This window comes from Homo sapiens, chromosome 18 (genome assembly GCF_000001405.40).
Source record: "Homo sapiens chromosome 18, GRCh38.p14 Primary Assembly".
In the NCBI taxonomy this organism is placed as follows: Eukaryota; Metazoa; Chordata; class Mammalia; order Primates; family Hominidae; genus Homo; species Homo sapiens.
Genome location: NC_000018.10, coordinates 62,489,760 through 62,506,307, shown reverse-complemented (window position 1 = coordinate 62,506,307; position 16,548 = coordinate 62,489,760). Strand labels below are relative to the sequence as shown.

At 43.8% G+C, this 16,548-nt stretch overlaps 1 annotated feature.

Annotated features, from left to right (window-relative positions):
- Positions 12,092-12,261: an enhancer, noted in NCBI's record as "experimental_49001 CRE fragment used in MPRA reporter constructs". NCBI's record gives its function as "activates a minimal promoter by MPRAs in K562 erythroleukemia cells, with activity observed for both the introgressed and non-introgressed 18:60161365 variant alleles {active_cell/tissue: K562}" and the evidence as "EXISTENCE:reporter gene assay evidence [ECO:0000049][PMID:34662402]".

The following is a 16,548-nucleotide window of genomic DNA, read 5'->3' as shown; positions in this document are numbered from 1 at the left end:
TTCCTACGTTACACTTGAAAGAAACTCTTAACCAGCAGTGTGAGCTGCATGACCTTGCTGCAGCCACTGACGTTCTCTGAGTCTCAGTTTACTCATCTGTGAAAATAGGTGTAACAGTACATGCCAGCCTCAATTAAATACAGAACTTCAGGGCTTGAGGGGGTCTTGGAGGTCATCAGATCTTGGCTCCTCCACTGGACCAGGGCCTTGGGGCTACCATGCTTACCTTGTTGGTGTAAGTGAGCTCTCGCAGCAGCCAGACATACTGCAGAGCCCATTGTGGGTGCAGGCAAACTGACTCCCAGGTCATGTGCAAGAGGCCATGAGAGAAGACAGGAGGATATTCAACCAATCTGGCTTCAGAAGGAGGCTCTGTGAGGACAGCTGAGTGGCCCAAGGTGGCTCAGACAGGGTACAAGCAATCGTCATCCTCAGAGTGGGACTCCATAGTGTGATAAAGCAGCCATGGAGCGGGGACAGGAGACAGGGACGGGACACCACCAGGGCAGGGGACCCATGCAGACAGGACCCTGAGCTCAGAAGGGCCCTAAATGTTCTGCCAACACCTTCTTGATATTTTTTCTTTTCTTTTTTTTTTTTTTGAGAAAAGGTTTCACTCTGATGCCCAGGCTGGAGTACAATGGTGCAAATACAGCTCACTGCCACCTCAACCTCCAGTAGTCCTCCCACCTCAACTTCTTTAGTAGCTGGGACCACAGGCGTGCCCCACCACGCTTGGCTAAGTTGTTTCTTCTCTTCTTTGTAGAGATAGGGCCTCACTGTGTTGCCCGGCCTGGTCTCAAACTCCTGAGCTCAAGCGAACCTCCCACCCTGGCCTCCCAGTATGCTGGGATTACAGATGTGAGCCACTGTCCTGGCGTCATGGTGAAATTCTTAATTTTGTTAAGAGACATCCCCACAATTTCATTTCATACAGGCTCTGCAAATTATGTAGCCAGTGCAGGGTACAACATCCAAGATCTGCTGAACAGAGGGCTGGAGGGGAGGGGTTGTGACACAGGGTGATCAGAAACTGCTCTGGGATGTGTGACACTTCCCAAGCCTCAATAAACGGTAGAATGGGAATAGACTGCTTCCTGGCCCCTCAGGACTGGCTTAGCCATGAAGGACTAACCTGGATGTTCTTGGGGACTGTGGTTGATTCCCATGGAGGCAGCTCCACAGAGGTCCTGGGCTCAAGTGTGGTACCTGAGAGAGGGTCAAGAGTCTGGTGGTTGTTGTCATTTTAAAATTTATTCTATTTTATTGATGTAAAGTTCACTCAACATAAAATTAACTAAAACCTGAAGGTAGCTTTTTACAATATTTTAAATAGTTTTGTGCACGAAACAAAGTTTGTGATAAGTATTTTTGTGTGGAATTTACCACTTGTGGCATCATATCAGCATTCAAAAAGTTTCAGATTTTGATGATGAGTCGAAAATGCATTTAATACACCTAACCTACCAAGCATCAGAGCTTAGCCTAGCCTGCCTTAAACCATGCTAAGAACATTTACATTAGTCTACAGACGGGCAGAATCTTCTGTAACACAGTTGATGTAGTTTGGATATTTGTCCTCTCCAAACCTCATGTTGAAATTGGCCAGGCACAGTCGTTCATGCCTGTAATCCCACCACTTTGGGAGGCCGAGGCGGGCGGATCACGAGGTCAGGAGTTCGAGACCAGCCTGACCAACATGGGGAAACCTCGTCTCTGCTAAAAATACAAAAATTAGCTGGGCATGGTGGCACGCGCCTGGAATCCCAGCTACTCAGGAGGCTGAGGCAGGAGAATCGCTTGAACCCGGGAGGCGGAGGTTGCAGCACTCCAGCCTGGGAACAGAGTGAGACTCCGTCTCAAAAAAATAATTATTAAAAAAAAAAAAAAAAAAAAGAGGGAGAAATTTGACCCTGTGTTGGAGGCGGGGCCTGGTGAGAGGCGTTTGGGTGGAGGTGGGGCCTGGTGAGAGGTGTTTGGGTCAGGGAGGTGGGTCCCTCATGAATGGCTTGGGTCCTGTCCTTGTCCTCACAGTAATGACTGAGTTCCTTTTCTACCGGTTCCTGCAACCAGACGGAGTTTCGCTTTTGGCGCCCAGGCTGGAGTGCGGTGGGCAATCTCGGCTCACTGCAATCTCCGATTTCCGGTTTCAGGCGATTCTCCTGCCTCAGCCTCCCGAGTAGCTGGGATTACAGGCGCCCACCACCATGCCCCGCTAATTTTTGTATTTTTAGTAGAAACAGGGTTTCACCATGTTCACCAAGCTGGTCTCAAACTGCTGACCTCGTGATCCGCCCGCCTCGGCCTCCCAAAGTGCTGGGATTACAGGCGTGAGCCACTGCGCCCGGCCTCTTGCAACATTTGACTGTTAAAAAGAGCCTGACACCTCCTTCCCTCCCTCCTCCTCCCACTCTAGCCAAGCGATGCTTTATCTCCTTCCCCTTCCGCTATGATCACAAGTTTCCTGAGGTCCTCATCAGAAGCAGATGTTGGCAGCGGGCTTCTTGTGTACCCTGCAGAATTGTGAGCCAAATAAATCTCTTTTCTTTATAATTTTTTTTTAAAGGCCGGATGTGGTGGCTCACGCCTGTAATCCCAGCACTTTGAGAGGCCGAGGCAGGCGGATCACGAGGTCAGGAGTTTCAGACCAGACTGGCCAACATGGTAAAACCCCGTCTCTACTAAAAATACAAAAATTAGCTGGGCGTGGTGGCGGGCGCCTCTAGTCCCAGCTACTCTGGAGGCTGAGGCAGGAAAATCCCTTGAAACTGGAAGGCAGAGGTTGCGGTGAGTCGAGATCGCACCACTGCACTCCAACCTGGGCGAAAAAGCGAAACTCCATCCCCCCCACCCCCCAAAAAAGTTTCAGAGTTTGGAGCATTTCAGATTTTAGATTTTCGGATTAGGGATGTTCAACTGTGTAGAATTCAGTTGTATTTGGTGCGTTCACTGTACTGCGCAACAATCCGCTGTAGCTTGCTCCAAAGCATTTGTGTGACCTGAAAGGAAATCCTGTACCCATGAAGCACTCACTCCCCACTCCCCTCCTCTCTTCAATCCCTGCCAACAGCTAAAGTATTTTTGTCTCTGTGGGATTTACCTCTTCCCAATATGCCATACAAATGCAATCCTACAATCAATGACATTTGGTGTCTGTCGTCTCACTTCTCATACTGTTTTTGAGTTCATCCCCATGGTAGAATGAAGCATGTAGCATTGCGGTATTATGGCTGAATTATATCCCATGGTAGGTGCCTACCACGTTTTATTTATCTGTTGACGGGCATGTGGGTTGCTTTGCCTTTTGGCTATTGTGAATGGTGGTGCTATGCATATTACTGTACAATTATTTGAGTACCTGTTTTCCGGTTTTTTGAGGTATATACCCAGGATGTTAAATCGTATGATAATTCTGTATACCTTTTTGAGGAACTACCAAACTGTTTTCCACAAGGGCTACATCACTTCACAATGGTTCTAACTTCTCAATATCCTCGCCAATACTTGTTACTTTCTGTTATTTTCATTTTTATTTTTTGGACGGAGTCTCGCTCTGTCGCCCAGGCTGGAGTGCAGTGGCGCGATCTCAGCTCATTGCAAGCTCCGCCTCCTGGGTTCACGCCATTCTCCTGCCTCAGCCTCCCGAGTACCTGGGACTACAGGCACCTGCCACCACGCCTGGCTAATTTTTTGTATTTTTAGGAGAGACAGGGTTTCACCTTGTTAGCCAGGATGGTCTTGATTTCCTGACCTCGTGATCCACTGGCCTCGGCCTCCCAAAGTGCTGGGATTACAGGCGTGAACCACCGCGCCCAGCCCCTATTTTCTGTTTCCCTCCCCCCACCCAACTGTAGCCATCCTCCTCATGTGTATGAAGTGTATTTTATTGTGGTTTTGATTTGCATTTCCCTAATGACTAATGGTGTTGTATCTTTTCATGTGCTTGTTGGTCATTTATATATCTCCTTTGGAGAAATGTCCATTCAAGTCCTTTGCTTATTTTTGAATTTGATTGTGTTTTTTATCATTGAGTTTTTTTTTTTTTTTCCTTAGATGGAGTTTCACTCTTGTTGTCCAGGCTGGAGTAGTGCAATGGCGCGATCTCAGCTCGCTGCAACCTCCTCCTCCCAGGTTCAAGTGATTGTCCGGCCTCAGCCTCCTGAGTAGCTGAGATTACAGGCATGCACCACCACGCCCCGCTAATTTTGTATTTTTAGTAGAGACGGGGTTTCTCCATGTTGGTCAGGCTGGTCTCAAACTCCTGACCCCAGGTGATCCGCCTGCCTCGACCTCCCAGAGTGCTGGGATTACAGGCATGAGCCATCGCACCCAGCCTTTATCATTGAGTTCTAAGAGTTCTTTATATATTCTGGTTACAAGTCCCTTTATATGATATATGATTTGCAAATATTTTCTCCCATTGTTTTAGGTCATCTTTTGTTGACAGTGTCCTTTGATGCACAGTTTTAAATTTTTATGAGTCCCATTTATTTTTTCTTTTGTCACTTGTACCTTTGTGTTATTTCTAATAATTCATTGCCAAATCCAAGGTCATGAAGATTTACCCCTATGTTTTCTTACAAGAGTTGTATAGTTGTAGCTTCTAAATATAGGTCTTTGATCCATTCTGAGTTAATTCTTGTGTAAGCTGTAAAATAGGGGTCCACCTTCATTCTTTTGCATGTGAATATCCAGTTATCCCAGCATAATTTGTTGAATGACTATTTTTCCCCATTTTATTGTCTTGGCACCCTTGTCAACTAGCTATAGGTATATGGGTTTATTTCTGGGCTCCAAATTCTATTCCATTAATCTATATATCTTGTCATTTTGAATCAGTATGGATAGGAATGTGTCACAATGGGCTGTAGTCTACCTTGCACAGAGGCATGGTAAGTGACATGTCAATACATCCTGGCCAAAGGTCAGATACATAGGGTTTGGTAAATTTGATAAGAAGAGTGGAGCTATGAACATTAAGCACAAAAACTGCAAACATATAATATATACTGAGACAACAGCCCAGAAAATTTTTTAAGAACTCAAAATAAATCCATAAAGAGAGACAGCCTATGCAACCTTACTTGCCAGACCTGTCCTAGAAGCAATGGTTTGTATTATCTTGGTGGATGAACTCCTTCTACAAATACAAGTCAAACATTTTGAGGATGGGCAGATCCATCAAGTCCATTGTAAACAACTGAGAACATGGTGCTCCACATGCTAAAACCAGGAAGAAATTTGAATGCACTTGCTTGAAGCCATTTCAAATCATCTTTCTGTTTTCAGTTTTTGCAATATAACAATTTGCTTTTTTTTTTTTTTTAAGATGGAGTCTTGCTCTGTCACCTAGGCTGAAGTGTGGTGGCATGATCTCAGCTCACTGCAACCTCCACCTCCCAGGTTTAAGTGAGTCTCCCGCCTCAGTTTCCCAAGTAGCTGGGATTACAGATGCGCGCCACCACACCTGGCTAATTTTTGTATTTTTAGTAGAGATGTGGTTTCATCATGTTGGCCAGGCTGGTCTCAAACTCCTAAGCTCAAGTGATCCACCCACCTCAGCTTCCCAAAGTGCTGAAATTACAGGTATGAGCCACTGCACCCAGCCAACAATTTGCTTTGATCTCTCTTTAGACAATGTGGCCAAACTTTCTTGGAGTAAATTTAGTGCACGTAAATTCAATAAAATTGTTTAATAATGTAATATTTTAAATTAACCATTAATTATTAATTATCCATATTTTTATGTATGCATATATTATTTAGGTAATTATAACACATGCCCTCTGTCACACACATGTCCTGGGCACTAGAGTGGTGACAGATACAGTTTCTGCCTTCCTGAAGCTGCTGGGTCCTTCATCGACCTTGTATAAGGGCTAGGTAGCAGAGGTTACAAAATATCCCTGTGGCTCCACCTGCCATGGTTCTTTTGGCTCTGTCCTGAGTCCCTGGGCTCTGGACTCCCCAGCTGGCCAAGCCCACAAACCTACATTCCCCTTAGCCTCCCAGGTCAGCCAAGACATACAGGAGCTTTTTGTATGAAATTTTACTAGGATGCTAAGGGAAATCACAAAAGAAGAAAACACCAGAGCAGAGAAATAGATCAGTTTACTGAGTACAGATGATTTATCCCAAGGGAACAAGAGTTCCTCATTTCAGTACTACCACGAAAACCTTTCCCTAAGCCTCAGTCTTCCACACACTGCCGTCAACACTCCTGGAGCACTTCTTTCTTTGGCTGCCGACTCTTAAGAAGCTCTGCAAGGGAGGGATAACACCTTTGCAGGGACCTAATGGGCTATTGTGGTTAGGTTCCAGAACCTTCAGACTTTCTCTAGGGATAATTCACTGATGAAAACAAGCACTGCCAGCCCCAAGCTTACCCTAACCTTTGCAGGGACGTGGGGCAGAAGTACAAAGGGATGCCCACATACCATCTGTATAAATATTTAAAAGTTATTCCTCAAGCTAACAAACCATTAAATAGCATGTCCTTGCTAAATACAACTTCATCCTGACACAGAGAGCAGGTTCCAACTGAGAATTCCCTGTCCCATCTGCAGCCTGCCCCCCGACTCCCACCTTTCTTGCCTTACTCCACGAGGGGCCATTGTGTGCAGACCTCCAGCCACCAGGGCCAGGTTTTGTATTATTTCTTGCAACTGCATGTGAATCTACAATTATCCCAGTGAAAGTTTAGATAAAGAGGAAGGAAGAAGGGGGAAGGAGGAGGAGGGGTGGAGAGAGAGAGAGAGAGAGACAGAGAGAGCGAGCGAGCTGTGCAGTGTGACCTATAGACCCAAAGTCACTGTGCCTGATAGGCTCTTTGTTTGAGAGCCTGGCCTGGTCCCCCTCAGCCCGCCCCCTCCTCACAGAGCAAGGAGCCCACAGGCCAGTGGCTTTTGCCAAGCACTCGCTTAGTCCACAGTCTTGCCGAAATGGCCTCCAGCACGCTTCTAGGGCCTGCGAGGGCCTTCTCCTTGTGTCCGACTCCCGAGTGGGTCTTGCTGCACTGCCGGTGTGTGCACCTCTGGGCCCAAGAAGGCCAGCAGGTAGCTGTTTGTCGGAATCATGAACAGATCTTGATCTGGGAAATGAAGACCTGGAATGTCGGTAACCCTGCGTGGCAGTGATCCCGTTGGGGAAGGAGGAGAGGAACACTGCTTTTCTTCCTTCTTTTAGCCATAAGATTCTGGAAAGGAGAACCAGAGGAAGGCAGAGCCACCCCCTGGTACAGTCCCTGAACTCTAGTGAATGGGGCATGGTTCATGAAATACATTAGAGGCAAAGATCAACCACTCTGCTTCAATTAACCACATGCAATTGTGACATCAAACAAAAACGTCAGACGCCATTCCAAAGATTAAATTGTATAAATCTGAAATAAAGCAAGATATGCTTCATTATTTCACTCTTTAAACCATGAGCTATTTGTCCCTCTTTGCAAAGAAGGGCCATTGATTTTGGCAGCCACCACCCAACAGTTCAAAGTATAGGACATCTGACCAGGAGGCCACAGTGGAGAGAAGCTGTTCCTTGTTTCAAGTGCTGTCAGATATGAGGGTGTCCTGGTGTGAGCAACAACCTCATTCTCTGAGGATAAAGTGAATCAAGACCTGAGCTGTTATGGGACAGGAGGAAATAGGACATAGCAGGTAGCTGGTCTTAGGGTGCCGTTTAGAAGACATTTCTGGATGTTTAATATTCGTAATGGAATCACTTATCAATAACCAAGTGTTGAATATTTTCAAGTTCTGAACATTTCTTTTTCTATTCCAGTCTAATTTGTATTTCACAGCAAACTTTTGGAATTACCATCTTAGGTATTTCCTTAGGTGCTGCCTAGTTCCGCTCCCAGAAGGATTTGAAGCAGCTTATCTCTCTCTAAGGTTAATGTCTTTGGTCCCTAAAACTCTTCAAAATGCATTTGGTTTTATATTAGCCAAAATTTCTCTTGGGAAATTGTCAGAGAAATAAATAACTGAGGAGAGAGAGACATAGCCACACTAGGGATCTTGTGTTTGTGTGCCCTGAAAACATATTTCTGCTGGTGGCTGTGCTGGAGGAAAGGGCAAACACTTTTATATATATATATATGTACACTATATATATTTTTAAATTCGAGACAGGGTCTCTGTCACCCAGGCTGGAGTACAGTGGTGTGATCTCAGCTCACTTCAGCCTTGACCTCCCAGGCTCAAGCAATCCTACCTCAACCTCCCAAGTAGCTGAGTAGCTGGGTCTACAAGAGGTGTGCACCACCACACTGGCTAATTTTCAAAATATTTAAAAAGTCCTTTTTTTTTTTTTTTTTTTTTTTGAGACAGAGTCTCAGTCAGTCTCCCAGGCTGGAGAACAGTGACACGATCTCAGCTGACTGCAACCTCCGCCTTCTGGGTTCATGCCATTCTCCTGCCTCAGCTTCCCGAGTAGCTGAGACTACAGGCGCCCGCCACCATGTCCAGCTAATTTTTTGTATTTTTAGTAGAGACCGGGTTTCACCGTGTTAGCCAGGATGGTCTCCATCTCCTGACCTCGTGATTTGCCCGCCTCAGCCTCCCGAAGTGCTGGGATTATAGGCGTGAGCCACCGCGCCCAGCCTAAAAAGTCATTTCTAAGGGATTGTTTTGGAGAACAGGGCCTGGCACACAGAGTTGCTTGAGAAGCAGAGCCGATCTCCTGACCAGTGTGCCTCACGCCTGTGACAGGTTAGGAGTGGCTGCTGTCCTCTGGCAGGGTGCTGCCTTCTGAGACAAATATTATCATTTGCTGTGCAAGCTGTGTTGGAAATCACCACGTCCATCTCCAGCCCCATCTCCACTTCTCACTCTGGACCTTCCCATGAGCTCCTTGAGGGCAGGGCAGACAGCCCATTTGTATTTATGTCCTTAGACCAACGCATCATGCCCCACATCTGGTAGGTGCTGAATAAACGTTGAGCAGAATTTACAAGCACGCTTTTTATAGCTTCCTCCAAGTCATCTGTTAGAGTGTTGAGCAATAAAACATCAAGGACGGAACTATTGATCCTCCAGGTGCCAGGCTGACAATAATTTATTAATCCATATTGGAGGTATGTTAAGTCTAAAAAGGGAGAAGTCTTTGGAGGGACATGACAGTTTTTTCAGACACTTGAAAGCTTGTCCCAGGGGCAAGCTAAGAACCAATGGGTGAAAAATACAGAAAAGATAAAGTTCTCCCAAGAACAATATCATGGGTGAGGGCTTGGGGAAAGGGGCATTCTCATGATGGAAAATGGAATATATTGCCAAATTTGGTTCCACAAAAATAAAAATTCCATTCTATTTTTCTGGAACGGAATTTGGCAATATGTACAAAAAACCTTAAATATATGCAGAAATTTTGACCGAGGAATTCCACTTCTAGATTTTGGTTATAGAAGTTTGATCAGCTGCACAAAGATCTATGTACAAAGATGTTCAACACAGTACTGGTTATGATAGTGTAATAATTAGAGCCATGTAAACTTTTGACAATAAGGGCTTAAATAAATCATGATATATTCATTCAATGGAATGCCATACATTATTAAAATGGTGATTTGGAACTATGTTTGTTTGAATGAAAATATGTTTGTACTCTATGGGGGAAATAGAAACAAGTAGGATATAAATGGTTCCATTTTATTATATACACACACACACACACGGAGATGGAGAGAGATGGAGAGACAGACACAGAGAAAGTCTTGAAGCTTATATATCAAAATGCTATTGTGTTATTGGTGATTATCTTTCTGCGTGTTGGGAATACAACTGATTTCACATTTATTTGTATCCATTATTTCTAAATTTTTCAACTATAGATATATGATGTAATAACATATGGTGTAATAATAATCATCATCATCATCATAAAAAATTAGGACTGATGAATATGTGCCCCCACTGAAATGGTGAGCTTTCTTCTACCCAAAGTGCTCAGCCAGAGGCCAGATGGTTACTTGGTTGGATATTGTGGAGGAAAGTTGGAAGAGTGGAGTTTAAAGCCACTTCCAACTGTAAATGCTATGATCCATGAAGGAAGAAGGTGACACTGGAAAATGTGCCACAGATCCTCACGCAGTTTGTCTGGCAGATAGGGTAATTATTTGCAAGGCTTTTCTGTTGTTGATGAAGATGTCTATTTTATTTTAATTTTTTGAGACAGGGTCTTGCTCTGAATCCCAGGCTGGAGTGCAGCAGCATGTTCTTAGTTCACTGTAGCCTTGAGCCTCCTCCTGGGCTCAAGTGATCCTCCCACCTCAGCCTTCCGAGTAGATGGAACTATAGCTGCCACCATGCCTGGCTAACTTTTTTATTTTTTATAGAGATGGGGGTTTTGCTATGTTGCCCAGGCTGGTCTTGAACTCCTGGTCTTATACAATCTTCCCACCTCGACCTCTCAAAGTGTTGGGATTACAAGTGTGTCTGGCCTGAGAATGTCTTTAAAAATTGGAAATTATGTTCTTAATATTGGCCTCGTTCTGTGACTTCTTAGTGAGCAATAACCTAGGAATTGGAATATCCTCATGCTGTTCCCTGGCCTTACAAACTGAAATATTTGCCTCTCACCCCACTGGGTACAACATGAGCTCCCCACAGCCAGGGATTTTTGTTTCTTTTGTTCTAGATCCCAGAAGAGTGGTTGGCACACAGCAGGCACTCAATAAATATTTTTTGAATGAATAAATTAATGTTGGCAGAGTAAAATAAGCAACTTGGAAGACAGCTGCTATGCAAATAAATGCTTTCGCTGTGTTCATGCTAATTACTTCAAAAACATGAGTTTGGAAACAGAATTCCAAAACTAAAACTCATTTTGTCATGTAATTAATTTTTCAAATGATTAACATTCTTTAAAAATCAAGTATGATGTTTATATGGCCATACAGTTTAAAAATGAGAACTCCGCATTGTGTTCTAGATAACCACCGGTCAACAGCGCTTTCTCTAACGATAGAAATATTCTATATCTGCACTGTCTGGTACGGTAGCCACTAGCCACATTAGGCTATTGAGCAGTTGAAATGTGGCTGGTGAGAATGAGGAGCTGGTTTCTACATTTTATTTACTTTTAATTAATTTAAATTTAAACTTGAATAGCCATATGTGGCTAGTGGCTACTGTATCAGACAGTGCAGTTTTAGATCAAACTTCTCTTAGTTTATATGACAAGGTAGATACCATGTGCTTACCAAGATACCATATATAAGCATGAAACCATGGGTACAATCTAGACTGAATCTTGTACTGAGAGAAAGAGATGGAAATGAGTCCAAGACTTTTATATGCTTCGTATGCATGGCAGCAGAGTGACGTCATAGATTAAAACAATTTCTTTACCACACAGCCTTCCTAATCTCCAGTAGTCCTGCTAAACTCTCAACATTCCACAGAATTATTTGTATCCAAAAATAAGGTTTATAAAAGTTGCAAATCCAAAGCAATTATCTGTAGTGCATACTGTCAGCGTCAGAATGAAAAGTGCAATTTGCCAGAAAAGTATTATTGTTATTCTAGGGTGCCCTTTTTATTAGTTGACTATTGTACAATACTGCCTTCATAATGTTAGTTAAAAGTTTTTGTTTTTGCTTAAACATCACCTTTGATGTTGTTATCTCTAAAGCAGATAACAGCATTGAGGAATTAAGTGAATGCTAATTCAACTAAGCCAACCATTCAGAAGAACCACCCTGCTGTCCTCCTCAAAAGCCTTCATAGGCTGGGCATGGTGGCTCATGCCTATCAGCGATTTAAGAGGCCAAGGGAGGAGGATCACTTGAGCCCAGGAGTTTGAGACCAGCATGGGCAATAAAGTGAGACCCCGTCTCTACAAAAACTCCAAAACTTAACTGGGCATGGTGGCACGCACCTGTGATCCCAGCTACATGGGGGGCTGAGGTAGGAGGATTTCTTGACCCTGGGGGTCAAGGCTGCAGTGAGTGGCATTTACGCCACTGCACTCCAGCCTGGACAACAGAGTGAGACCCTGTCTCAAAAATGAATAAATAAAAATAAAATAAAATATAAATAACCTTTATAAACATGTGATGTGTTCTCCTTGAAATTAACTGAGTATTTATCTTAATTCTTCATCTTACTGATGTACAGTAGTCCCCCCTTATCCTTGGGGGACACATTCCAAGACCCCCAGTGGATGCCTGAAACCATAGCTAGTATCAAATCCTAGATATGTTTTTTCCTATGCCTACATACCTATGATAAAAGTTTAATTTACAAATTAGGCACAATGAGATTAACAATAACCAATAATAGAACAATTATAACAACACACTGTAATAAAGGTTATGTGAATATGGTTTCTCTCTCTCTGTAAGTATTTTACTGTACAGTCCTCACGCTTCTTTTTGGAATGATGGGAGATGAGAAAATGCCTATGTGATGAGATGAATTGAGGTGAATGGCACAGGCTTTGTGACCTAGGGTTAGGCTACCATCGACCTGCCGACGACACTTCAGGAGGATCATCTGCATTGGGTGATCCTGGATCATGCAGCCATGACAATATAGGTGGTGTCCAGTCATGACATTCAGGCAGGAACAGACAGTGGTGTTGATGACTAGCCAGCTAACCGGCAGGTAGCGAAGATAGTGCAGATACACTGGCAGGAGCAATTCACATCACATCCTGGGCAGGACGGAGTAGGATGAGATTTCATCATGCTACTCAGAATGGTGCACAATTTAAAACTCATGAGGTGTTTGTCTCCAGATCATTCCATGTAATATTTTCAGATTGCGGTTGACTGGGGATAACGGCAACCTCAGAAAGTGAAACCACAGATAAGTGTGGACTACTGTATAACTGTCCTATGGCCATTTGTAGTGACTTCGATGTTGCTGCAGGTGAAAGAACACACTGCAATTAAGGAGAAAGGCAAAAATGGAGGCAAACGCAGTTAAAATGAATATATTTTTGTTTTTAAATTTACTAAGCATTATAAGCAGATGGGGTGGGGGTGGAGAGACCGAATCACTTCCGAGAGCAGCAGGCTGGCCAAAGAAGGAACTCCCAGTGCTGGTGGGGACAGAGGACAGCCATGCACCCAGTGGGTGGGCACCTACAAACATGCTGTCCCCAGGGCGTGCTGCATGGAGGTATCCATGGGGGTCGATGTAGGAGGAGGCTCTTCTGCTGTTCCTGGAAGGGCCAGGATCTCTGAGTCTCTGGCACATTCTCACCACAGCTAATAAATGCCTCGAATGCCCCACCTTGGGTGACGGGGTGTGCCCTGAGGTCGCAATGCCCTACTCCCTGCTCTGGACACCGGGAACACAACGATACCCACAGACAAGTGCCTAGTGAATACGGAGAGTGTGTGAATGGTGCTTGACTCTTCATACAAAAGAACAGGAAGCTGGGGCACAGATGACACAAAACACTGTCCGTCAAACATCACCACTACCCGCTTCTACAACACCTTGTGTGATTCCTGACGCTATTCGCCTTCATCCATTTACCTTCTTGTTTCTCACATGTTTTCCCTGTATTCTGTTGGAAGAGTGTGATCCAGGTGCTGGGGTATGAGGTGGGGGTAATGTTGCCAACTTGAGATTAAACAGATCATCAGCTCAAAAAATAAATAAATAAATGAAAGAATTATAAGCTGTTGTTAGAAAGGTGCAATCATAGCCGGGGTGGTGGCACAGGCCTGCAGTCCCACCTACTTGGGAGGCTTAGGCGGGACCTGGGGAGATCAAGCCTGCAATGAGCCGTGATCAGGCCACTGCACTCCAGCTTGGGTGACAGAGTGAGACCCTGACTCAAAGAAAGAAAAAGAAAGAAGGAAAGAAAGAAAAAGAAAAGTGAGATCAGAAAACGGTTTGGCTGTTTTCCCATCACTACCTTCAAATGCGTGTTGTCAGGTCTCCCTTCTGGGAATCTGAATGCCTTGGAGGTCACCTCTGAGCATTTTGGATCCTTTATTTCAGTTTGCAAACTGTCACTAATTCCTGTATTTCAGATTTAATTCTTCATCTCCAATCTCACTGCTACCTCCAGAGTCGAGGACTTTGATTTTGGATTATAGATATTCTGTCTTGGAAGCTCAAAGATCTGCCAGCATTCCTGCTACAGGAGAATGTTCCTGAAATAATGCTGTGCTCATTCCCTCCACAATTAGCGGATGTGGAGTGAATGTCACCCTTTTGGCCCAGGGACCATCATGTCTTCAACTGCTTATTGCAACAGGTCTCAGTTAGATCTGCACACTGTGAGGTCAGAACAAATGGAAGGTTGTCTTTCTTGCGAATCAAGGGTGTACTGCAAACTGACCTGTTCCCTGAGGCAAGTCACCTGCTTCCCAGGCCTCAGCTTCCTCATCTCTAAAATATGAGATGAGACTGAATCGTTTTTTTAAGTTCTCTTCCAGCTTTGATTTTGAAATTATTTTCAGGTCAATGACCTAATTTTTAAGGTCTTTCATTGTTTCATCCAGTTCTTTCTAATCAAAAGTATCTCCCATTTCTCCTCAGTATGTAGATTTTCAGATCTGTCTTTGCTTCCCTTTCTCATCCTAGCTCAAATCACAGCTCCTTGGTCACTCCAGCTCATGGTGATTCTCCCTGTGTAATTGTCTCTGTTCCCAACTTACAATAAACACCTTGATAACATATATCATATTTTATGATTTGGCCATATGGTTTTATAGTTTCTAGCCCAATTTTTATTACTAGGAAGAGCTGTCCAATGAATACCTGATGGCTGATTGTTAATTATAATGTGTACTAGTCAGGGTTCTCCAGAGGGAGTTTATTAGGGAGAAATGGCTCACATGATTACAAGGCAAAGTCCCACAACAGGCCATCTGCAAGCTGGGGAAAGAGAGAAACTGGTAGTGGAGTCCAAGTTTGAAAGTTTCAGAACCAGGGAAGCCAACAGTGCAGCCTTCAGTCTGTGGCTGAAGGCCCGAGATACCCTGGGATGCCACTAGTGCAAGTACCAGAATCCAAAGGCAGAAGAACCTGGAGTCTGATGTCCAAGGGCAGGAGGAGTGGAAGCAAGGGTCTGGTACAGGAAGAAAGAGAGAGCCAGAAGATGCAGCAAGCAAACGTATCCTCCCTTCCTCCCCGTGCTTTGTTCTAGCTGTGCTGGCCACTGATTGGATGGCATCCACCCTCATTGAGGGTGGGCCCTCCTCTCCTAGCCCACCCACCATAATGTCAATCTCCTCTGGCAACACCCTCACAGACACACCCAGAAACAATACTAGCCATCTAGGCATTCCTCAGTCCACTCAAGTTGACACCTAATATTAACCATCACATAATGTATAAAAGTTAGCATGACATTCATTTTTCTACACAATAAAAGTCTATTGAGAACCAATTATGAGTCAGGCATTGTCATAGGCATGAGGGAACATTTGTGACCAAAACACACCACCTCTCCTGCCCATCTGAAGCCCACATTCCGGGTCACTTTTTCCTGTCCTTTTGAGGCCAGAAATGCATATTGTAATGTATAATGTAAATGTATGTTGTTTATATTGTTCCCAGGTTATGCAATGTCTTTAGAATCTATATGCCGTGCTGCTGTTGTAAAGCTGTGTGGATGCCTCTGAACAGGTCCATGCACCAAGGTCCCCAGTGATGGGGGTCCATTGCAGTAGGCAGCCGTGTCCTGGTGGCAGTCTGGCAGATGCCTTTAGTGAATTAAAATTTCTTGTAATTTCAGTTAATCATTTGCTGTTATTTCTCCACATGCCGTAGTGTGCCTTATCAGTGGAAATTGTATCTTTACAGCAGTAGTTCTCATACTTTTTGAACTCAGGACCTCTCTATACTCTTAAAAATTATTATTGGAACTCCAAAGAGGTTTGGTTTGTGTGAATTATAGCTGTGTAGTTACCCTATCAAAAATTTTTGAAAATGTTGATTAAATCATTTCAAAGCAATACTAAATCATGCATGAACATGAATAAAAGACTCATCCATTTATGTATGTTAACGTAAATTACATATTTTTATGAAAAATAGCGTTTTCATTTGTTGTTCTGCTTTCCAAAACAAAACACATTTGGTGAGAAAACTGGCATTATTTTATATTTTTATAGGTCTCTTTAATATGAAGCTTAGCATCTATTTGACAGCTGGATTCTCATATCTTCTGTGTTCGATCTGTTATAATACGTTTTTTGTGGAGTTTTTTTTTGTTTTTTTTTTTTTTTTTGGAGACAGAGTCTCACTCTGTCGCTCAGGCTGGAGTGCAGTGGTGCGATCTTGGCTCAACTGCAACCTCTGCCTCCCAGCTTCAAGCAATTCTCCTACCTCAGCCTCCCGAGTAGCTGAGTTTTAATTTAATTACGTGAAAAAAAATCTGACCTTGTACAGATATGAGTTTGGAAAAGAGGGGAGAATTGTCACAGCCTTTCTTATAGTTGTGAATATTATTTGAAACCTCACCAAAAGTAGACTAGTAGCAGTTTCTTAAGTTTAGTTGCAATGTGGAATCTATAAAACTGTATGAGTGAAATTTCCCCAATTAGTTACATTAATCCGTATATTTTGCAATTTGAAAGGA